The sequence below is a fragment of the Homo sapiens genome, chromosome 1 (assembly GCF_000001405.40).
Source record: "Homo sapiens chromosome 1, GRCh38.p14 Primary Assembly".
Lineage (NCBI taxonomy): Eukaryota > Metazoa > Chordata > Mammalia > Primates > Hominidae > Homo > Homo sapiens.
In genome coordinates, this window is record NC_000001.11 from 58,881,592 (window position 1) to 58,905,040 (window position 23,449).

The following is a 23,449-nucleotide window of genomic DNA, read 5'->3' on the forward strand; positions in this document are numbered from 1 at the left end:
CACCCACCTGGCAGGGCAGCCCTGCTCCCTCCTCAGGTCTGAAGTTCACCTCAGCCCATGACTCAGTGTGAAGGCTGATGGCTGGGTTCAGTGACCCCCAGGGAAAGCTGAGTCATGTCCAGGAAAGCAATGTCATCCCACCCGAACCAGAGTGGCCTGTGTTGTGAAATCTAGCAGAAAGGTCATCACCACAGGTTCCAAGATGCCTGGCTTAGCCACTGATTGCCAGGCCACTCACTGAACTCTGTATTCAGTTTTTCCTCCATCTATAGGATGGTGTATCTCTCTGGGGTCTTGGGGGATAAAATTAGATAATAAGTCATTTTATCTGTTTACTCAACAGATGTTGACTGGGCACCAGTTCTATGCCAGTGTGCTGGGGACAGAGGAATGAATAAGACATAGGCTTAGAAGACATCCCCTTCAAGGGGATGAAGTTCTAATGGGGAAACAGATAAGTAAATAGAAGCACTAGCACAGAACTAAACTTTCCGACATGTAGTTGCACACTCACTAACTCACTTAAGTCATCTCACATGGGGTAGTAACCAATTTCATTCATTTGACACACAAGGAAACTGAGGGCCAAACTGGCAAAGCGATTTGCCCTTCCTGGTGTTCCATAACCCTTCAGACATAATTTCATCACAGCCCTTAGCGCTCTTTCTCTGGGATAGAAGTTCAAATGTTTATTTCCCCCATTAAAGTTTAAATTCCCTGCAGGCAGGTCTAGCTTCTTTTAATCTGTTGACCACCAGCATCTAGCCCAAGCTTGGCACACGGTTATGGAAGGTGTGGTGGGGGGAATGGAGCTAGAAGTTGTGGAGCATCAACCACATGCTGGGCTTCGCTGGGCACTTCACATTTGCTGTTGGTTAATCTACTACAAAAACTTGGTATGGTGGGTATTATTATCTCTGTTTTATAGGAAATATGCCAGAGGCTGAGATGAGTGATGGGATTTGCCCAAGGTCACACTGAGCGTAATCTGAGAAGCTCCCAACTCAGAAATGGCCCAGAAGCTGGTGTGTGTGCTGCGGGTGGGGGATGAAGTGGGTGGGAGCTCAGCCGTCCAAATGCAGAGCCAGAACGAGTCTCCTGTAAAGTGTTCAGCTGGTCCACTGGAGCATCTTTACCCACAGAGCCTGATCCTGTGCTCAGGCTTTTATTAGCATCTGTGTTCTTTCCGCCACAGCGCCCAGCTGCCCCGGCAGCCTCTTGGTGAACACTTGCTGAATAAATGCTTCACCAGGAGAACAAAGACGTGAAGAAACAATCACAATATGTGCCAAGGCACGAGGCTAAGCCATTTATTTATCCTTTTTCTTTTCATTCTCTCAACATCACGATGAAGTTAAGTACCATGAAGACCCCAGTTTTACAGGAAAAAAAAATGGAGGTTTAAAAATGTAGAGACTTCCTACAAAGCTGGAAAGTGGCTTTGAAGCCAGGCTTATGTGGCTCCAAAGCCTGAACTGCAAACCACTACTTGAAAATGAATGCGTGTGTGGATGAATTGCAGCTCCCAAACTCTTCTGAAGCCTCAGTCAAGGCCACAGTGGCATTTGCTCCCTGGGCAGGGTGTTTTCCAGGGACTTATGGATCAGGTCTGACTCTTTCCAAAAGGCCCTCTGACTGCCAGCCCTCCCAGAGGGGTCAGAGAGCATTTCCCAGCTTCCCACTGGGCCTGCCTATCTTTGGGAGCTTTGAAGTCCTACATTTAGAGGACATGGATCAGCCCCAAACCTAAGAGCTCCCCCAAGGTAACTGCCAAGGGAATCCCTCAGGAATCCCGCTTAATGCAACCAAGAGAGGCCTTTAGAAATCAGGCCAAGTAGAGGAAAGAACAATGGACAGGAAATTGGGACATGAGAGAGTCGTGAGTCAGCAGCGTGGTGAGAGCTGCCAAGATTGCTGATGTGAACTCTGGTTGTATCACGAGGAGCATAATGTGTTGAATAACTAAGGTGATATTGCACTTCCTCTGTGGTAGAGCTGGAGCTGGAATGTGGGGTGAAGGTCTGGTTCCACATTTTCACGTAGTCATAGTCAAACCGGAACTTATCCAATAGAGCAGAACCGGAACACTGAAGGGAACGGTACTATCATCTTTGCCAAGGCGGAAGGACTTGTATTTCTTTTCCTGAAGAAGAAAAGAAGCAAACATGTTGGGAGGATAGGCTTTGGGTATTTCAGAGATTTCCCTATGAACAAGGCAGTAGACTTCTTCTGTCTGATCCTAAGGGGAACCTAGGACTCAAGTGAGGAAATAATAGGAAGCAAGATTCAGACGCGAACTGAATCAACAATGCCTTTGTTCTAGTCAAAAAGATAGCCAAAGAAGGAAATATTTTTGAAGAAAGAAGAAAAAAAGCAAAACACTCAATGAACCTCCTCTCTCCCCTCTATGTGACCCTAAGCAAGTAACGTAATCTTCCTGAGGCTCAGTTCCTTATCTGAAAGTGGCAGGTGGTGTTACATGAGACTAACAATGTGCAGACTGAACGCAGTGTGGAGAGACGGCTGTGCACATGGCCCTGCGACTCTGGCTGCTGCAATTTAAACCTTAGCTTAGGGTGACCTTGGAAATTTGTTTTTACTTTGCAGTGCCTCAGCTTCCTCATCTGTAAAATGGGGATAATATATGTAAAGCAATCAAAAGGGTACCTGTCACACAGTGGGCACTCAACTTTCTTGTTAGCCAGCATCATCATCATTGCCACTCTTTATATATGAAAGGGACTGTCACAGTATCTAAAATATAATAGGTGTTCAGAGAATGTTTTCCTTTTCCCATTCTCCTTTAGGGGACTCTTCCAGGGTGTCTCTGGGATACCAAGTTCTTCTCATCTCCAGATGTCTGGAAAATGTCTCTAAATAAAACATCTTTTTGCTTATATTCTAAGGCAGCTATCTGCCTCTATCTAAATACTCTTTTAGTGAAGAAAGGGGCAGAGCAAGGAGAGTCAATCTACTTGTAGAAGTTTCTCATTCTGAACAGTGTACTTTACAGATTCCAAAGTGTTTCTCCCTCCATTACCTCTTTACCCCTTACTAGAGCAAGCCCAGATGTGAGAACTGAGGCTCCGAGAGGTTCAGTGACTTACCTGGAGCCATTAACATCTGAGTGAGTGAGCCAGGAATTGAACCCAAGGCTTTCAGACTCTGGACACCTACCTTTACAGGAGGCATTGGCCAGCCTCTTCCCCTCACACACACATCCTCTCACCCTGGGGTTCTGCTTAGGAAGCATAAGAAAGGCAGTGAGCCAGGCTCCAACCTTGAAGCCAAATCCTTGCAGTAATAGAGAGGACTAAGGGCTAGAGAGAGGAGCCAGGAACCGTGGATCTCTGCCGTGAATCCGAGCCCTTAGAGCTGGAGACCTCACTTGGACCAGTCTTCTGTTTTCAGTAGCTGTAGTGAGTGAGATCAAGAACTAATGTCAAGAGCCCAGAGCCCCTACCAGCATTGCATGATAGGATTTTCTGTGATAATGCTGTATCTGTGTTGTACAATACAGTAGCCACTAGCCACATGTGCTATTGAGCACTTGGAATATGCTCAGTCATAGGACTGAGCCATCAACATCCCTGTTTTATAGCTGAGGAAACTGACGCTCAGTCAGGGAGGTTGTTGAGGTTGCAGTTAGCCAGCCATGTCACTGAGACTTGAAGCTATCCTGTCTGGCCCCCAAGCCATGCCCTTCACCACCACAGAAGCCTCTTGTTCCACTCCCCAAGGAGGGTCTTTGCACCCTTCTGAACCAGACAGGTGATTGGGTCATGTCTGCCTGTGCGAAGGGGTCTCCCTTCCTGCTTGGCTCCACCTGGCTCCAACTCTAGAAAGCACCTGTGTTGTTTTACTGATAACAGTGTTTGCCCTTCCAAAGCCAGAGCCATAAAAGGCAGCTTTCAAAGTCACTGCCGCAGAAATGTCAACATGAGGGGGAGGCCAGTCATGGTTTCTGAGGCCCAATGTCACCTCCAGGCTGCTGCAAAGGCTGCTACAAAGACCTTCGGGTCCTGGAATCTGGACTTGCTTCTACCACAAACTTGCTGCGTTTCCTTGAACATATTTCTTACTTCCTCTGGGCCTTGTTTTTATCATCGGTGTAAGGAGAGGGTTGAATTTAAAGATCTTAAAGGGCTCTTCTATCTCTAAAATGTTTAGTGTCCTCTGCACGGGATCCTGGGGTCAACATCTAAATCTCCTATTTAATGACTGTGAAATACCTTATGTAGCAGCCTTCAAAACAAAATCACCCCCAAACCTTAACCTGGAGTTTTTTTAAAACCTCCAACAATGTCACCATTGAAGCAGTAAAGGTATTCATTAATATCTTGTAAAAAGTGATTTTGTGATTTTCTTAATGTATGAAAAAATGTCCCCCGCCCTTGACACTGGGCCCAGAGCCCCAGAATATAAAACCACAGTCAGACCACTAGGATTCTACAGAGCTCAGGTGTTTGGACAAATTGCCTGCACTTGAGAATACAGGGCAATTTTCTCGACTTTTAAAATGTTTTCTCCCTTCCCCCCACTTTTCTGGGGTTTTCACCCCTGCTTGTAACTCAAACCACAAATAAAGCTCTAAGCCTCTGGCTGTGAGGAACAGCGCAGTGGCTGCCAAGAACAGCATGGTTCACGTGGGCCCTTTTTCTGCCGCTCTGGAAACCAGCTCTCCAGAGGACAGCACAACATTCGTTTTTCTCTTTCTTTACTAATCACAAAAATATTGCTTTTCAGATGGGCTGGGGAAGGGGCAGATTGGTGTTGATTGGTGGTGGACAGGGTCAGATTGGCAGCCTTAGGTGCAGCAGAAGCCAGGTATGGCAGCCACAAAGATTTATATATCCCTCCCAGATGATGGCTCTGATACTCCCATTTGAGGCTTTTACCCTGGAACATGGCACATATTGGTGTTCAATACCTGTTTGTGGTTGAATGAATACACTTTTACAAATATTCTTTCTTAACAGAGGGATAAGCATTCCTGTTTTTCTGCTGAAACTGAGGAAACTGAGGCTCTGAGAGAGTAGCCGACTCAGTCAGGGTCATACACACAGTTACCTGGTAGGGCTGTTGTGTGACCCCAGGCTGGCCCCAGATTGGGCTCTTCCACTCACGCTCTTTCTGCGTCTGCCTCTCAGCCATACAAGCCAAAGAAACACTGTGTTCCCAGCCCACGAATGAAGCTGAGGCATGATGGACAAGGCTTATGGAACTAGACTTTTCTTCTCCAAGTGCTCTCTCCCACAACTTCCAAAATTATCCCCATGGGGATGATGCTTACAACAGAAATGCCAGCTCCACCCTCTTTCCAGCTGCCTGCTGGACATCACTGCCTGGATTTATGCTCAGTTCTAGATACAATGCTTGGCCTAGAGTGGGTGCTCACTGTTGAATAAATAGTCAATGATGTCCTACAGATAATATCTGAATCTAAGTTCACCGTATCCACTGCTGAGTCCCCAGTGCCTAGACAAGGCTTGGGGAACAATTGTTCAATGAATAAATGGAAGAATGCATTTTCCCTCCCTCCAACATAGTTTATTTTTTGGATTGCCTACTTCTGCTGAGATCCTCATCCCTCTACAGTTTCTCAAGCCAAAAGCCCAGGACTTCCCCAGGACACCCCTTCTCTCATGTGACTCTCAGCAAACTGGTCACCACATTCTTTCAATTCACCCTCTGACCTGTCTTTCATGCCAATCTCCTCCTCTCCAAATCTGAACACATGAACTTCTTTACTTTATTGTGCAAGATTGTATTGGTTACAAGGAGCAAAAACCCAACTTGAACTTGCATAAGCCAAAAAGGAGATTTTAAATGAGAAGAATATAGGGAAAATCAAAGAACTGATGGAGAAACCAAACTACCAAGCCCCAGGAATGGCAGAGTTGGCTGGAACGGGGTGCTCTGATTCTGACAGCTCTCTTTCTCTTACACCTCCATCTTCTGAGTTCATTGATGTACTGGCCTCATTCTCTCTCAGCAGTTTCCTCAGTATCACAGGGATGTGGATGCTACACACTCCTATCTATACAGTTTTGGGGTCAGAGTAGAAAAAACCTCTTTCCCATGTGCTGCAATGTCATAATTCCTAGAGAACTCCAATTTACCTAGTGTGGCATATGGGCCTGCCCCTGGACCAGCCACTGGGGTTGGCAGCAAAGAACACCTCTGTGGGAGTTAGAAGAGGGCACTATCTTCTGAGTGTCTGCACCTCCACAGGTGCAAGCTTGCCCTGCAGAGCACAGGCTGGATTCCAGTCCCCACTTATTATCCCTGCCAGACAAGCTTCTACAGGGCATAACCTGCACAACTGTACATGGCGGACCTGGCTGGCAGTGGATGTGGGGCTGGGCACTCCCAGTTCGAATCAGATGTCTACACCTGGCCAATTACTACTGTTAGAAAGGCAGGGTCATGCAAATGATCTCACTTTCCATGTGGACACGTGGTCAGAGTGGAGGGAGGTTTGGAAAAAGAACATTTCTCTAAGAAAGGAAGGTAGCACGTTCATGGACCACAGCAGAATCATATGAGCTGGAATGTGTTTACAACTCCTAAACCTGCTTCTTTTTTTGGTTCTCTTCATTGATACAAAGAACCATCTGCCCAGTTACTCTCTCCAAAAACCCATGAGGTATCCTGAATTCTTTCCTCTCCCTCATAATCATTCTCCTGAATATGTCTCAAATATATTCTAATCATCTCTCCGTTTCTTCTGCCATCTCCTAGGTTAAGCAACTATTAATTCTTGCTTGGCCCATTACAAAAATGGCCTCCTAACAAAAACAACCCCAAATTCATCCCATCCCTATGCACATCCTTTTTTTTTTTTTTTTTTTTTTTTTTTTTTTTTTTTTTTTTTTTTTTGTGAGACGGAGTCTCGCTCTGTCACCCAGGCTGGAGTGCAGTGGCGGGATCTCGGCTCACTGCAAGCTCCGCCTCCCGGGTTCACGCCATTCTCCTGCCTCAGCCTCCCAAGTAGCTGGGACTACAGGCGCCCGCCACTACGCCCGGCTAATTTTTTGTATTTTTAGTAGAGACGGGGTTTCACCGTTTTAGCTGGGATGGTCTCGATCTCCTGACCTCGTGATCCGCCCGCCTCGGCCTCCCAAAGTGCTGGGATTACAGGCGTGAGCCACCGCGCCCGGCCCACACCCCTTTGTTATATGACTTTGCTGTTCTTGCCGTCAAGAAATGCTGTCTATTGCACCACCCTTTGAATCTGTGCTTGGCCAACGGACACTAAGAAAGATGACATAAGCCGAGGCTTGAAAAGAACTTGTGTGCATCAGGGCTTGCTCTTTCTTGCTTTTCTTGGTAACCTGGCAACCATCTACCATGAGAAGAAGCCCAAGGTAATAAGAGACACATGCCCCAGTCATCTCCATTGCCCCATCCAGTACCCACCAAACACGTGAGCAGGTAGCTGACTGTAGAGCTGCCCACTGACTCCTAGACTTGTGAACAATAATAAGACAGTGGTTATTTTAGGCCTCTAGGTTATGGGGTGGCTGATTTTGCAGAAAGAGCTAAATGACTCACCGGTCTTCCTTTCTTCAGCCTTTTCCTTCTCCAGTGCTTCCCAGAAACCGCATGATCTTCCTAAAATGCAGGTCAGGTTATATTACTTCCTTTTTTCCCCACCTCTGATAGGTCAGTATCAACTAAACAGTGAGCAAATTCTGTATTTACTGTATTAATTCAAACTCTCCAGGATCTGGAGCCCAATTCTCCTTTGACTTGCCCCTGTCTTCACCCTATACCCTCTGTTCCCCAGACACACAAATTGATTTGATGTTTCCCTAACCTGGAGTCTACTGCCATGCCTGGATGAGGTGGTATATGCTGCGACCTGTTCCTAGAGCACCATTCTCTCTTTAATTTACAAGGCCCAGCTCAAATGTCCTATCCCCAGTGCACTTACTTTGTACCTTTCATTTTAGTTTCATTGATTTCTTATGTCTTCTGAGTCGGCAACTTCTTGAAGGCAGGAAGTTTATAAAGTTATTCTTTGTAGCTTTTCCTCAGAGTACCCAGTATCATGTCTAAAACATGAAGAGTGCTTAACTGGGAAGTTTCTAGCAGCCTCCCAGAGTTGGACAAGTTGGGCATGTTCTATTGAGGCAGGAGACAAAATGGTTAAAAGTGTAGGCTCTGAGATCAACTGTGTGGGTTTGAACCCCAGACACTTTCCTTACCACCAGTGTGATCTAAGAAAATTACCTAATAGTACCTCAGTTTGCTCATTTGTAAATTGGGAACAATAATTGAATCTCCAGTACCAGGTGATTATGAAGAATGGGTGAACTTGTGTAGAGCTTCTGGGAAAGTGCATTCCTTTAGCTGCTGATGTTGGAGATGATGATCTGTCTCTGGACCCAGCCCCCTCCATTCCTTGGGAATGGTCTCTCACCCCCTCAGAACCTGCATGGACAGCAAGTCATCCTTTGCCACAAGGAGTCCTCGTTATGTGTTGGCAAGAGGCAGAACAGTGTGGAAAAAGCATAGACTTTCAGCAGAAGATGTGGGCCCTGCTCTCCCAGCTGAGTGGCCTTTACCAAGCTTCTTCCTGTCTCTGAGATTTGTTTCTTCATTCATAAAATGGGTGTTACTTCGCTGAGTTGTGAAGAAGTCATGAAATGGGGAATGCTGAAGGGTGTGAGCTTTGGAACGCCGTGTTCCTGGCCAAGGCCTCTTCTTGCTGGAAGTTTTCTGTGGCTCCCATCTGTGGACTGAGCTAGGCACATGCAACTTTCTGTGCTTCCTCAAGCCATGCACATATTCACAGATATTTATCAAACCTACACCAGTGCCCCTCTGAGACTTCCCAAGTGAGCAGCTACTATGTGCTAGGAGGAGAGCAGTGAACAATACAAAGCTTTTCTCATTGCTTATATTCTTATGGGAAGACGGAGTACAAGTAATTAAATAATAATGTAATTTAGTTTGGTAAGTACCAGAAGACTGGGTGAGGGGCGGGTTTCCTAAGTGTGGTCCCTCAATCCTTGGCACACTCTGTTGTTATTACCCATTTTTATGTTGAGCTTCCTCCTCTGCCACAGGCTCCTGGAGATGAGGGGCCCCATTTGATTCAGTTCTGTGGCTCAGGTAGCCAGCACAGTACCTGGTTACAGTAGGAGCTCAAAGTTCATTACTCTCCTCGTGATTCAAATGAATGATCACTATCACATCTGTGATTTTCTAATCACAATTTTTCCATCAATAAATGGTCTCTGAAAATGTACTTTGTGTCAGTCCTGGCCTTGTACTACCAACGACTGAAGACTGTGAGGTAGTGCTGTCATCAGAGAGCTCGCTGCCTGGTGGAGGAAGAACACCACCACCTCACTGAGTAAGCTCTGTGGCAGAGGTTTGCACACAGAGCTGGGAGGAATCCAGGGGGCATACTCGTTGTGGTTCCTGAATCTTTCCGAGGTCTTGGAGCTGTCAGGCCTCACAAGGGAACAGGCTTTGGCTTTCCCAGACACTGAGGAAAATAAGGTGTCAGGAGTTTCCCAAATCTAGGCTGTTGATCCAACACCAATGGTCTTGAGATGAGATGTGTTCCCTGTGAGCCTCCATGCTGCACCCCACTCCTTCTCCCGGGCTCAGATCAGCCTTCCTGGGACTCTGTCATTTCTCCACTGAAAACAGGCACACCATGGAGTCCAACTCCCCAGTCATGGTGCCAGGTCCTTCCGACCATGCCCAATCCAAACAACCCAAGCTTCTTCCCACCATTCACCCATAGCCAGTTGGCTCTGCCACCGACCCTGACAGCCCTCAACCTCTCCCAACAGAATGGGGTTCCTGCTAACTGATGGGCCTTCACCACTTGCTTGCTTCCATTGACCCGTTCAAGTTACTTAATGCTTATTATCTGTTGAGTGCTCTATCAGGTACTAGGGATACAGACATGAATGAATGTGATAAAGGTCCCTGCCCTCATGAAGCTTACATTCTAGTGAGGAGAGGCAAGGAGTTAATAAGTAAGAAGTCAGAAACACATGGTGTGTCTGATGGTGCTAAGTGTTAAGAAGACAGAGCAGGGAAGGGGGACAGAGCATGCCCATGGGGTGGAACTGTAATTTTAAATACAGTGCTATGGATGGTCCCCCTGGGAAGATCACATAAGAGAAGAGGCATAGAGGAGGCAGGATAGCTAGTCACAGAGTAGAGTGAGAGTAGAGTCGAGTCACAGAGTAGACTAGAGTTACAGAGGCATAGAGGAGGCAGGATAGCTAGTCACAGCTGGGAGTAGAGTGTCCAAGGCAGAGGGAAGAGCAGATGGCCTTTGAAGATCAAATTTTCTATTTCCCTTCCTCCTTCCTTTCTTTTCTTCCTTTTTGCCTGCATGTATTTATTTCAAAAAATATTTCTAGGAATATGCTAGGTGCCATGCACTGCATTAAGTCTTGCATGTAAAAAGAGGGCCCCCTTCTTTCAAGATGCACACACTCTATTGACAGAGGAGAACAAGATAAACCAACAGTTACAGTGGGGATTTAAGAGCATTATGCCAGAGAAGGTGTCACCATTCATGCTGGGAAGCCCTTGGACAGTCTGATGGTGCCCTTGGGCCTCTTCTCAGAATAACATTTTAAAATGCATAAAATTAAGCACATACAATGGTAAAGAAAGCAATTATTTTTCAAAAGTTAACAAAATACAGAAAAAAATAAATTGGTAATAATGTATGTGGTTTCATATTTGTACACTGAGTAACCAGATCTATAGGTCTATTAACTATTTTATTTTCAAAATATTGATAATCATAGATACAATTTTTAGATAATCTGTAACAACTGTAAAGTGGTATGAACATAACTATGATTTCTATTAGTAATAAATTACAGGAACCATTGATATCACTGTGATTTGAGCCTACATTTGTAATTGAAGGAAATGTTAAATTAATTTTATGTACAAGTTAGTGAACATTTCTTCCCCCATACAGATTCACAAAGCTCCTGAATTCCAGCCCTAAGAACCTTGATACTAGAGATATATGTGCTGTCAGGCTCTGAGAGCACAGAGGAGGGGTCAGAAAAACCTTTCTAGAGGAGGTGATTCCTTAGCTGGGTTCTGAAGAAGGAGTAGGAGTTAGCCAGAAAGATAGGGGTGGAGGGAATTCCAGGTAAAAGGAAGAGCAACAGACAGCATTAAACTGTACGCCTTATTTGGGGGAACTGATAGTTAGTGTGGTAATAACTCAGGGTATGTGTAGGTTTTGTTGGGAAATTAAGCAGGAGAGGAAGACAATGGGATCAGCTTATGGAAGTTCTGAGTCCTAAGCTACAGAATTGGTCCCAGAGTTGATGGGGTGTCCTTGAAGGACTTAAGCAGAAAAGGAACACAGTCAGAAAGATTATTTTGGCAACTATGAGGTGGATGGATTGGAAGGTGGGAGAAACTAGAGGCAAGGAGATGGGTTAGAAAACTGTTCTAATTAGTCTAGGCCAGAAGAGCTATGTGTCCCAGACAATGGCCATAGGGGTAGAGAAGAGGAAATGGATACTAGAGACCCACAAGATGGTAGAATCTGCACGAAAATTGGCAGTTGATGGGGATGGGGCAGTTGGGGAGAAGAAATGATCAAAGCAAAAATGTGACTAATTAACAGAGAAGCTGTGTTCAGGGCAGTAGCGGCCACGAACTGCAAACCTGTCCTGCTCGTTCACACCTTTGTGCCTTTGCGAAGCTCCATCTCTCTTCCTGGGATTCCCTCTCCTCCCCTGTTGCTTGCTCTTTCCTAACTCCCAGGTCACCTCACCAACTTCTATCTTGCTGGGAGGCTTTCTGGAGGTGGCAGGTTATCTCGAAGCTGCAGCCTAAACACAAGCCCTTGTCTGACTCTGTGTAGACACCCGAGATTCCCGCCTTGAGCAGAGGCCCCATGGCCCCCTTTGCATCCTTGATATCAGGCTTGTTCTCCTAGGGAACCAAGGCAGATTCAGCCTGGCAGCTGGCAAGTCATGGAGCACTGCCTGTCCATCTGCGAGCTAACAACAGTCGCGCTGGAAGTCAACAAGGGAAATGGAAAGGGAGAGACCCAGCCTCCACAGGGGCTCACGCCCTGGGACCTGTGCCAGTGTGAACAAGGTTTTCCGGGTGAGGATTTCCCCTCGTAGAATGGGAATAGCAGCTGAAGGCGAGCTAAAGAGAACTGCTTGTGCTTTCCTTGTAACATTGTCTTATTTATTAAAGCTTTGTAACCACCCTTTGGTGGTTGTGTGTGTGTGTTCTCATGCACACACACACACACCTTCTTTCTGATTACATGCAAAGAAAATATGTCCAGAGTGGCTAAAGGACTTATCTAAGGTCACTCAGGCAGCAAGGCACAGGTGAGTATAGAAGTGGCTTGGGAATGAACACATGCCTCTTAGAACCCTTGAGATTTGTAAAGTCAGGGGTGGCTTGGAAGAAAAGATTTGGGATTAAAGAGGCTCGATGGGGCCAGAAGAATTGTCACTGTTTTCCTCTGGGTCTGCCTGCTGCTTTTCTCTCCATTCTCTAGCCCAGCCTCCATATCTTCCTAGAGGCAGTCCTTGCTGCAGAATGCGAGGGGCAATGGCTTCCAGTGGTGGCTGCTGGCATGATTTGGCCCATGCTGGGTCTCCAGCCTCCTCTCCTGACATCCTTCCTTGCCAGTACTCCATACTCAAGCCAGCTATGTTAGCTGGGTGGCCCCGTTACTCATTTGGCCACTTGTGCCATTAAATGTGCTGCTTTTTGGCCGGGTGCAGTGGCTCACACCTATAATCCCAGCACTTTGGGAGGCCAAGGTGGGCGGATCACCTGTGGTCAGGAGTTCAAGACCAACCTGGCTAACGTGGTGAAGCGCTGTTTCTACTAAAAATACAAAAAATAGCTTGACGTGGTGGCAGGCAGCTGTAATCCCAGCTATTCGGGAGGCTGAGGCAGGAGAATCACTTGAACCTGGGAGGTAAAGGTTGAAGTGAGCCAAGATCATGCCACTGCACTCCAGCCTGGGTGATGCAGTGAGACTCCGTCTCAAAAAAGAACAACAACAGCAACAAAAACAAACAAACAAACTAACAAACAAACAAACAAAAAAGCGCTGCTTCTCTTTCCTGGTGGGCAGGGGATAGAGAGAAACAGGAGGAACCTCTTTTCTAAAACACTTTTTCTCACGCCTGTAATCCCAGCACTTTGGGAGCCTGAGGCGGGCGGATCACGAGGTCAGGAGTTCGAGACCAGCCTGGCCAACATAGTGAAACCCCGTCTCTACTAAAAATACAAAAAATTAGCCAGGCGTGGTGGTGGGTGCCTGTAATCCCAGCTACTCGGGAGGCAGAGGCAGAGGAACTGCTTGAACCCAGGAGGTGGAGGTTGCAGTGAGCCGAGATCATGCCATTGCACTCCAGTCTGGGCGACAAGAGTGAAACTTCGTCAAAAAGAAAACAAAAAACAAAAAACAAAAAACCACATTCTCCCAAAGTGGCACCTGCTAGTTGAAGTTAAGGTAATATGTTGTTACAATAGTTGTTGGGGACACAGTGAAATGACTCTAGAAACAGAGCGTGCATGCAAGACCTTGAGACAGTAAAGAAGGTGGCCAGAAGTGACACCTTGTTAATATGCAACCCAACCAACCAAGTGTGCTTGCCTGGCCCAGGCCAGCAGGCTAACTAGCTCTGTGCAAGCCCCTGGCTATGCCCCTTAGGTGCTGGCCCAGTGCCAGATGTTCTGGTGGCCTCATATGCCAGAGGCCACCAGAACATCTTTGTGGAAGGACTGAGAGGGGAGGCGTGAAGCCACAGAGAGGAGCCAATCTCTCTCCCCTTGGCTGGGACTCTCCCCTTAGGAATATAAGCAGACTGTCACTTGGGTCAAAAGCACAGCTGTAGGGAAGAACAGGAGGAGAGAATGGGTATGAGGAAGAGGAGGAGGAGGAGTGGAGGAGGAGGAAGGAAAAAGGGCTGGGAAGGGAAGAGGGAAATTGGAGGGGCAGGTGGAGGAGGCAGTGAGGAGAAGAATACTTGGTGAGAGTTTAGCCACCTCAAATAACAATCTTGCAGTCTCTTGCAGCTGCTAGAGAAGTCCAGTCTGCCCACAGGGCAGAGGAGGAAGGGTACTTCCTCTGAGGAGGCTGGAGGCCTTGTAATCTCTGTACCCACATCCGGAGAAGCTTGGACGGGGTGGGGCTGCCTGGGTCCAGCTTCCCACCCAACCCTGCAAGCTTGGGATCGGACCCTGGGAAGCCTGGCTTACCTGGGCCAGGTCCAGCTGCACTGGGTCTGGATGTCGTATCTCAGGAGCCAGTGGGCTTGGGGTGAAGATGGACAGCCTTTTCTAGAAGATACAGACTGTGACTCAGAGAAAGGCATTCTGATGTCTTCTGCGAGACTCCTGAATCACAGCAGGATGGGCACAGGGCTGGGGGAGAAGAAATAAATACTTAATTATAAAAATTGCATAGTTGGAGAGAGCTTTTGTAGTCTTAGAGGTGAAAGAACTCTGAGCTACAAGAATAAAGAAGAGCATCTTTTGCTGGGTGCTTACTTTGTGCTAGACACTGTAAAGTGCTAAAGATAAGGAAAGTATCCTTCATGGCTGCATGCGTTGCATGCCCACCACGTGCCAGGGGCTTAACACCACCACCCTATTTAATATCCACCACTAGCCCCAGGAAGCAGGCCTAAGTACTCTCATTTCATCACTGAGGAGCCTGAGACGTTCAGTCATTGATTGGACAGCCCTCACCATTCAAGCCCTCCTTGGTTTACAGCAGCAGAAAGAGAGGCTCTGAAGGGTAAGTGACTTGTCACAGTTGAGAGCAACTGGCCTGTGGTAAGAGTTGGAGGCAGAACTGAGCTCCTGGCCCAGGCCTGTGGCCTCTTCATTCCCCCAAGCCACCCTCTCCAGTTGTCAGGCCTTCACTTTCAGGAAGTCCGGGACAATGAGGTTCCACACCTGCTTCACAGGAGAAATATCCTTTTGCAGGATTTTCAGTTGATAGCCAGTTGCCAGGGCCATCTTCTCAACTGATGGCAGCTTCTTATTTTTTCCCCAGTACCTGGTCACACCTGGCCCTCTCCGAGAGGTTTTCAATGCCCTGGGCTACAGTTTTGTTCAGTTGTGCTCTCAGGGTGCTAATGACAGCACACCCACATGCTGATAGAGCCCACATGCTGATAGAGACGATAAGAAAGGAACAGCTGGGAGGGAGGGAGGAAGGGAGGGCCAGCAGGAGCCTGGGCCAGCGGGTGGGGCTGGCGGCCAGTGTTTCCCTGTAGGGCGAGGGCACGCTCAAGGGACTGGCTTCCTTGTAAACAGTGTGCAGCCAGCTCTAAAAATACCCCTGCCCTAGACAGGGCACATTGAGCTCCTCTGGTCTCCCCCAGAGCCTTCCCAGGGGCCTCACCTTTTTCCTAAAAGGTCAAGGGGATGGGAAGAAAGCTGCCTTGTGGAGGGTTGGATTTCCTTAGCAAGGAAAGTATAACCATATTTCCTTCCTCTGCAAAACAGAAAGGAGGATGCTTCATGGGTTTCAGCAGCAACAACAAAAGGCCAAAACAAAACAAAACAAAAAACAAAAAACAAACAACAACAACAACAAAAACTTCCCTGGACCCTTGTCTCTTTTCCGTAATCTGAGACCTGGGCTGAGCTCAGGTCCAAGGACTGGTCCTGATTCACAGCCTAGGATCAGGGAGCCATGGGAAGATGCTGGATTGTAATTTTCAGCTGTTCTCCTCATGAGGCATGTGATCCATGACTCAACTGCTTAATGCCTCAGTTTCCACAATTATAAAAGGGGATAATAATAGTGTTTAATTCACTTGGGTATGGAGAGGCTTAAATGAGATGCTATCTATAAGGCTTTTAGCACAGTGCCTTACACATGACAAACGTTCAAGAAATGCTTATTATTATGGTATATGGGAGGATAAAACTATTTCCTGAATAACAGAAGACTTGGTTTAATAAGAAATGTGGTAGGTAGGGAAAAAGAGAAGTGTGGATAAGAAAAGACTAAAAGTGTCTGAATCACAGAAAGCTCAAATATATTATTTGACAGATGGGGACACTGAGGCCCACGGAGCAGAAAGGAGTTGCTCCAAGCTAGACAATGTATTGGCCACTGCCTGTAGGTTCAATATAAAGTAAGTGTGATGAGAACATGAAAAGTCCTGTGGGACTGTAAGCCTGCTTCACTAGGAGTTAGGGGAATGAGGCCTTTTGTTCATGCAGCACTTTAAAGTTTGGAAAGCCCTTTTCCAGGGAAAGACAGACCTTAGCAGATCACTGCCAGAGGGCTGAGCTCCATGATGAGGGACTCTTGAGGGAGGATGTGTGAGGACACAGCCAAGCAGAACTCATTCTTGGGACTGGTGGCTGCCTGTGAGGCCATATATTCATGCCTTGAACCCAAAGACCTTGGTTAAATGAAGGAGTTAAATCTCTTTACTCCAAGATTTTTCAGAACCTTCTAAGACATGAAAATGAAATTGTGGGTCTTCAAGACAGGGATATGCTGTATGCAGCATTCCCCATATTAAGTTGGTTACAGAGCCTTCTTTCCACAGAGTATGAGCAAGAAATAATTTGCTATTATTATTATTTATTAGTATTATTATAATTTTTTTTTTGAGACAGAGTCTCACTTTGTTGCCCAGGCTGGAGTGCAGTGGTGCCATTTCAGCTTACTGCAAACTCCACCTTCCAGGTTCAAGCGGCTCTCGTGTCTCGGCCTCCCAGGTAGCTGGGAATACAGGCCAGCGCCACCACGCCATGCTAATTTTTGTATTTTTAGTAGAGATGGGGTTTCATTCACTATGTTGGCCAGGCTGGTCTCAAACTCCTGACCTCAGATGATCTACCCGCCCCGGCCTCCCAAAGTCATGGGATTATAGATGTGAGCCACTGCACCCGGCCAAATAATTCAGTATTAAGCTAATTCCTTGAGAATTGCTGTCCTTAAGTTCTCAAAAAATAATAATAATAATAATGTGGATTCTGTTGCCAGATAGCACTAAGTTCATAATTTGGCTATTTCCTAGGTGACTTTGTACATGTTACTTCACCTTCATCAACTGTAAAATGAGAGGAAGAATATTCACTTCTCAGGATAGCTTTGAAGGTTACATTTATAAAAGCATATGGAAAATGCAGTGTCGTGGCTAACACACAGTAGGTATTCAGTTAATGGTTCTAATTAAGTAAAGCCCGGAGACGGAAACCAGCTTTTGCAAGCTCACATAGGAAATTAGTGACTGTGCTAGGCCTTGAATCTCCATCTCTGGGCTCTTCCAGTTCACCATACTTCTCTTTATTAAGCAATACCATATAAGAAATGTAGTCCATCAGAGGAGATAGGCAGCCTCCCCAAGTTTGGTGTGATTTTATAGGTCAAGTTGACTTTAAATATGCGACAAATATTTCCTTTTCTCCTTCTCCCCCTTCTCCTCAGTTCTAGCCAGAGGAAGCTGCAGCCAGGCCTGGCAGTCTCCCCTGCTCCCTTCCACCAGCTTGGTTCCTGTTTCTGCTGGTCCTGGGAGCCCCCAGCAGATGGACTGCCCTTATCAGCCGGCTCCAGGCCAGAGGAGGAATCCTCCGGTCACGTGTGGCTCTCTGGAGGGAGAGAGACCTCATAAATACATACAGCCCACGCAGAGGAAGGGGGGAGGGTCAAGGGGAAAGAAACCTTGACATTCTGGCGACTGGGCCAGGATTAAAGTCCACCAGGCATAGTCCTTATTGGCTATTTCTATGAGGAATCTCAAATCCACATGGCTTCCCTGGATGACAACGCTGACTTTGACTAGCCCTGGGATCTGGGGCATTCCCAGTGTGCTGCTGGCTTGATCCAGGCCTAATCCTTTGCCCAGGACTGACCTTTCACAGTTTACAGAGCACTTTATCTCCTGGCTCAGTGAAGTCTCACAGAACCCTCCAGAGAGAAGGGAGTTTATCATCACCCTCAATTTACAGATGAGGAAGCTGAGGCTGCGATTGTAACTGACTGACTGCTGGCTACGCAGCTACAAGTGACCGAGTCCAGCCTGAAAGCCACATATATTCTCCCACAAAATCCAGAGCTGCCAAACACATCCTCCTCCATGAGTCTTGCTTTGTGCCCATCACTGAGCTCCATGCCCCGGGCGAGCCATCGTTCCTGCCTGGCGAAGTCCACAATCCAATAAGGAGGGAAGGTTGAAGGGATGAATCTCAACAGAATTGTGCACAGTGAAAGAAGCCAATGAAAGAAGAGTACATATTGTATAATTCCATTTATAGAAAACTCTAGAAAATGCAAGCTGATCTACAGTGACAGAAAGCAGATCCATGGTTGTTTGGGGAAGTGAGGCAGAAGGAAAGGATTCAGAGAAGCACAAGGAACCTTTTAGGGTGGTAGACATGCTTACTATCTGGTACTGAGAGTTTCTCATGTCTGCACGTATCTAATTGTACACTTTAAATACACACAGTTTATTGTATGTCAATTATATCTCCATAAAGCTATTTAAAAAGAGGAACGTAAGTGGGGAAAAGAATGAAGGAAGTTGGCTGGCGTATAATTAAGTAAGTCTGTGAGCAGTCTTAAAGTGGGGACACAAAGTACCATGGGCACGTAAGAGAAGAAGGTAGAGATTCATTCCCAAACGGAAGAGATCAGGAAGGAGTTCTTAGAACAGGGTTTCAACAAAGCTCAAGGTATGGATAAGTAAGGGTCAGGTTAAGAAAGATTCAGATGGAAGATACAGATAGAGTTTATTTGGGAAATAGAGAGTGGAGTATTATACACACGCACAATTCGCCTTTTTACCCAAGTTTTGAAGGACTGAAGTTAAAACTAACAGCAACTATCCTCTCTTTTCTTCAGAAATTCAGACACATGCCCTACTTGGCAGGCAGCTAGTTTTGCTAATAAGATTCCTGCCCTTCTCCCTCCCTCTCTGTGCATCTCATCCCTTCGGTCCCGCTGAGGCCCCTACCCTCTCGGATTTCCTCTTTGAACTGAACTGCCAAATACTTGCCAGCTTCCAGGGCCCTGAGTACCCACATTTCAGCCTCTTCCAAACCCCAGAGTAAGAAGGAGATTTGGGGAGTTCTGGGTGGGCATGTGATGGGAGACTAGGTCCAACATAAAAAGATATTTCCCTTTTTCTTCCATACTTTTTGGCTTAGTAATTGACATGTGACCATTGGAGAATTTTGAATAGTTTATTAGAATACATTGTGATAGAGAAGAAGGAAATTCAAGAATTGTTACAATGTTGTACACTGATTAACTGGCTAATTTGCTGCAAAACCAATTCTGATCACTGCTCTTATGGTTTGTAATACATTATTTTGGGTTTGGATGATCCTGTTATTCATAGCTTTACATAAAGAAATATTCCAATGACATATGAAACCCATATATGAAATTGTGGGTTAGCTCTTGCTTTCAATTTTGTATTATGTTTGTTGATTTTAAACTGTCTCCTTTCAAAAGTTTCCTTATTAATTAAATAAACCACTCAGCCACATTCCCCTCATCTAACTCAGTACCCAAGTGTAAGCTCAATTCTGGAGTCGCCTTTCCAACCTTGGCTTAAGGGACATTAGTCACTAGGAACAAAACATGGCATTTGAACAGCTGTTTTGGGTATTCAGAGTCCAAACCCTACAGGTCTGGAGAAGGTGGGGGTTGGGGGAAGGAAACCAATATTTACTTACTGAATACCTACTCTGAGCCAGGCACTGGGGACTTCACAGAGAGTATGTCTTTTAATTTTCTGAACAGCTCATTAATGTGTTCTGCCTCCTCTAGGCATAGCAAGGTTAAGAATTTATCAAAGATCACACAGCTCATAAGTGGTGGAGCTGGGACTTGAACCCATGCAATCTGACTCTAGAGCTTATATTCTTGAATACTTCCCTATGTGTACTTTGTTGAACCCTCCCATGCCAAGATGTAGGAGCCATTATTATCAAATCTGTTTTCCAGATGGGAAACCAGAGGCTCAGAAGAGTAATTTTCCCAACGTAAATTAAACAGAGACCCTGGATTTAAACTCTGTGATCCTGGGCAAGTCACTTCACTCATCTATCCATCATCCATCTGTCCACTCATTAATTCAACAGATAGTGTCAACTGTTTACTCCAGGGACTGTCTTGTCCCTAGAGATGAAAAGATATATAAAATCTGGCCCTTGCTTTTTAAGAACTCATAATCCAGTGAAGAGGGCAAACACCTACACAACAGTAAGACAAATGACTGCAATATGACGGGTGCTTAAGAGGTGTCTAAAAAGAGCCACAAGAACATAGAGGAAAAGCATCAAATTACTTGATGAAGTAAAGCAAGGAGGCCTCTGGAAAGGAAGGGACATTGGGCTGATATGCTCTCCAGGCAGAGAAAGGGGGAAAGGGGTTACTCCAGGGAGAGAGAGCATCAAAGGTTAAAAAAAAAAAAGGGGTCACATATTGAGTGCTTACCACCTGTTTTAAGTGCCATCTCTCTGATTCCCATGTCAATTCTGTGAAGTAGGTATTATTCAGACCACTTTATAGAAGAGGAAACATAGGCACATAGAGAACAGGCACCTTGCCTTTGCTCACACAGCTAGTAAGGAATAGAGCTAGAATTCAGCCCTGGGCAGCCTAGCTTCAGAGCCCATCCTCTCAGCTACTCTACTTGGAGTGTTTGGGGGCAGCTGCTAGTAGTTCCTCACAGGTGAGGCAGGCAGTGCAACTGGTCACATAGGCAGGAATCTGGTCTACAGGGTCTTCCTGTATGCCGGCTTTAGGCACTTTCTTCATGAGGCCTTACATGTTCTTCATCTAGGACCTGGACCTTTTGGGATCCATGAAAATAATAATGCTGTGGTATATGCATGTGTGCTTGTGTGTTGAGGGGTACACCCACCTTTCTCAGGGGAATTATACAGTTCCATTTTTTTTTTTTGAGACAGAATCTTACTCTGTCCCCCAGGCTGGAATGCAGTGGCATGATCTTAGCTCACTGAAACCTCTGCTCCCGGGTCCAAAGGATTCTTGTGCCTCAGCCACCTGAATAGCTGAGATTACAGGAGTGCGCCACCACGCTCGGCTAATTTTTGTATTTTTAGTAGAGATGGGGTTTCACCATGTTGGTCAGGCTGGTCTTGAACTCATGGACTCTTCTCTATCACAATATATTCTAAGGCAGGCAGCGATCTGCCTGCCTCGGCCTCCCAAAGTGTTGGGATTACCGATGTGAGCCACCGTGCCAGGCTTCTATTTGCTTTTGCTTTTGATACACCCATATCTGCTCATTGTAGGAATATTGGGTGCCTTCAGCTCAGCTGGATTCTCTTGGCTTCAGTGTCAGTATTTGAATTCTTGTTCATTTTCTGCTTTCCCTCCCCAGACTGGTAAGTCCATGAGGACAGAGTCCTTGTCTATCCGCCAGACCACCAGTGTCCAGCACAGTGCCTGGCACACAGTAGGTATTCAATAATTGTTTAATGAACTCTGGGGCTTTGATTAATAATTTAGTTAGAGAGTAAATTAATTGTGAGTTAAATCTAGTTTGGTCAACAACATACTTTACACTGTGCAGTCAGTGGGGCAGGAGGGAATCACAGAAGGGTCTTTGAAGATGAAAAGTGCAGGGACTATTGGCCTAGATCAGTGGTTTACACATGAAGCTGTACTTTTAGACGAGCTTGCCTTCCGGGATTTCGATCCCTGGTCTGAGGTGCTGTTTGAGCTTCCCAGGTGATTCTGAAGTCACCAGATCGGTATTGAGGGATGCCAAATTTGGGGGACTTCCTGTTCTAACGTATTTCTTTTTGTCCCCCGAACTCATTCAACTTGTGCCTGAACGGTCTCAGCAATGGGAGCTCATTATTTCACAAGGCGAGCTGCCCAACCCAGCGTAACCACAACGACAACAATCACAGTGACACCATGTAGGGACCATACATTGAGCATTTCTTAGGTGTCAGGTACCGTACATACATGCTGCTCACTCCAAAGGCGAGGTGGGTAGTACTTGTCTGCATATGACAGCTAAAGAAACTGCAACTCCGACGTTGGTGGCGCTGGGAGTCTCAGTGGCGGCGGGGCGGGGCAGGGCCGGGACCGAGGCCACGTCCCGCCCGCCGCCCGGCTTCCCGCCCATGGGCCTCGGCAGTGCCCGCGGGAGGAGCGGGTGGAGGGAGCCGCTCGCCACGTCAGCGCACGCCCGCCCCGGCGCTCCGCCCGGCCCTCCTGGGCCTCCCCATAGAAGGTTAACCCGGGCCGGATCCCACGAGGACTGGTGGGGGCCGGGCGGCCCGTGATTTCAGTTTCCGAAGAGTCCGGCCCTGCGCAAAGGCGGGCAGGGAGGAGGAGTTCGGGAAGCCTTCCCGACAGTCTGTAGATGAAATGAACGCGCCCCGCCTGAGCGCCACTCGGGGAGCGCGCCGAGCCAGTGCAGCACCGCGGCCTCCCGGCCCGCCAGGCTGAGGGTTTCCGCGGGCCCTGACCCTGCTGGCCCCCACCGGGCCAGTGAAAGCAGCAGGCTTTATGCGGCTGTCGGGCTCGGGGCGAGGAGCCGGCTCCACCCTCCCAGTCTGGGCCCATCCTCCGGCCTCGGCCAGCCCCTTCCCTCCCTCTCTTTGGCGTTCGCGTTCCCTCGGCCTAGCAGACCTCTTAGAATGTTTGTTTTCCTTCTGAGAAAGAGCGGAGGGACGTGGCCAAGACCAACATGAACTGCAAACACGGGACATCCTCTGTGTGGGGGGACATTTTTCTGGGACCAACAGACCTGGGTCTGAATACCCATCCTGCCGCTTCCTCGCTGGGTGACCTTTGTATATCTTTCTCCATCTCTCTCAGCCTCATTATCCTCATCTGTAAAATGGGGATAATGACGCCTTACCTATCTTTAAGATACATTCTGAGGATTAGATTGGATAAATACGGATCATACATTTTAAGCACTTAGTGCTGTCAATGGCAATTAACATTATTATTCATTATATTGTTATTATGAATGACTGATAATGACACTCAAGATTATTAATGCTACTGTGTCAAAAATATGCTCAATTAAATTTATTTTTAGTGAGTGAAATAGTTTTATGAAAGGTAAATAAAGAGGAATAATACTGGGTCGGGAAGTATATACACGTTATCTCATTTAATATTCAAACAGCTTCAGAAGGTGGGTGTTATCATCCCCATTCTGCAGATGAGAAAGTTGAGGCTCTTGGAGGTTCATTAACTTGCCCACCTCACACACTTCAAGCCTAATGTCCTGCCCTCCCTCTCTCACTGACTTCCTTGACTGCATCCCTTAAGCTCCAGTCCCTTTCTACCTGCCTGCCTCAGCAAAGACTCGTCCATCTGCAGAGAAACCTGGAGGAAAGTGAGTCAGCTCTGGAAACTGGATAAAGCTCACCTCCTCCAGGCAGCTTTCCTGATTCTCTCCCTCCTCCCCCTGTAAAA

At 46.8% G+C, this 23,449-nt stretch overlaps 2 long non-coding RNA genes across 7 annotated transcripts in view, besides 6 other annotated features; one reads left to right on the forward strand and one right to left on the reverse strand.

Moving 5' to 3' along the window:
- Window positions 1–18,121, forward strand: part of JUN-DT (JUN divergent transcript) — a 114,562-nt gene extending 96,441 nt beyond the window's left edge. The window contains exons 2-4 of one of the 3 annotated variants that reach the window (NR_034014.1): window positions 11,954–12,126; window positions 14,666–14,794; window positions 17,456–18,121. This is a non-coding gene — a long non-coding RNA (JUN divergent transcript). The remainder of the gene's footprint in view (window positions 1–11,953; window positions 12,127–14,665; window positions 14,795–17,455) is intronic. The other 2 variants (NR_034015.1, NR_108106.1) reach the window with 2 other exon arrangements.
- LINC02777 (long intergenic non-protein coding RNA 2777) lies at window positions 1,287–22,547 on the reverse strand. Of its 4 annotated transcripts, NR_183656.1 has the most exons (5): window positions 21,977–22,547; window positions 15,407–15,499; window positions 14,254–14,418; window positions 7,558–7,617; window positions 1,287–2,143 (listed from the first exon to the last, which is right to left on the reverse strand). It is a non-coding gene; the product is annotated as a long intergenic non-protein coding RNA 2777 (long non-coding RNA). The 4 variants fall into 4 exon arrangements; NR_183655.1 differs by lacking the exon at window positions 15,407–15,499; NR_183658.1 differs by lacking the exons at window positions 15,407–15,499; window positions 21,977–22,547 and adding an exon at window positions 15,059–15,195.
- Window positions 1,404–2,603: an enhancer, noted in NCBI's record as "CDK7 strongly-dependent group 2 enhancer chr1:59348667-59349866 (GRCh37/hg19 assembly coordinates)". NCBI's record gives its function as "activates an origin of replication core promoter dependent on BRD2, BRD4, P300/CBP, MED14 and CDK7 cofactors, with strong dependence on CDK7, by STARR-seq in HCT116 cells {active_cell/tissue: HCT116}" and the evidence as "EXISTENCE:reporter gene assay evidence [ECO:0000049][PMID:35650434]".
- Window positions 1,506–1,800: an enhancer, noted in NCBI's record as "tiled region #2604; HepG2 Activating DNase matched - State 5:Enh, and K562 Activating non-DNase unmatched - State 5:Enh". NCBI's record gives its function as "activates a minimal TATA promoter and a strong SV40 promoter by Sharpr-MPRA in HepG2 cells, with weaker activity in K562 cells {active_cell/tissue: HepG2 | K562}" and the evidence as "EXISTENCE:reporter gene assay evidence [ECO:0000049][PMID:27701403]".
- Window positions 3,833–4,028: a silencer, noted in NCBI's record as "fragment chr1:59351096-59351291 (GRCh37/hg19 assembly coordinates)". NCBI's record gives its function as "represses an EF-1alpha promoter that drives an FKBP-Casp9 reporter gene in an ReSE screen in HepG2 liver carcinoma cells {active_cell/tissue: HepG2}" and the evidence as "EXISTENCE:reporter gene assay evidence [ECO:0000049][PMID:32094911]".
- Window positions 17,586–17,880: an enhancer, noted in NCBI's record as "tiled region #10312; HepG2 Activating DNase matched - State 5:Enh". NCBI's record gives its function as "activates a minimal TATA promoter and a strong SV40 promoter by Sharpr-MPRA in HepG2 cells {active_cell/tissue: HepG2}" and the evidence as "EXISTENCE:reporter gene assay evidence [ECO:0000049][PMID:27701403]".
- Window positions 21,941–22,330: a silencer, noted in NCBI's record as "silent region_937". NCBI's record gives its function as "represses an Ori minimal core promoter by ATAC-STARR-seq in GM12878 lymphoblastoid cells {active_cell/tissue: GM12878}" and the evidence as "EXISTENCE:reporter gene assay evidence [ECO:0000049][PMID:35858748]".
- Window positions 22,391–22,640: a silencer, noted in NCBI's record as "silent region_938". NCBI's record gives its function as "represses an Ori minimal core promoter by ATAC-STARR-seq in GM12878 lymphoblastoid cells {active_cell/tissue: GM12878}" and the evidence as "EXISTENCE:reporter gene assay evidence [ECO:0000049][PMID:35858748]".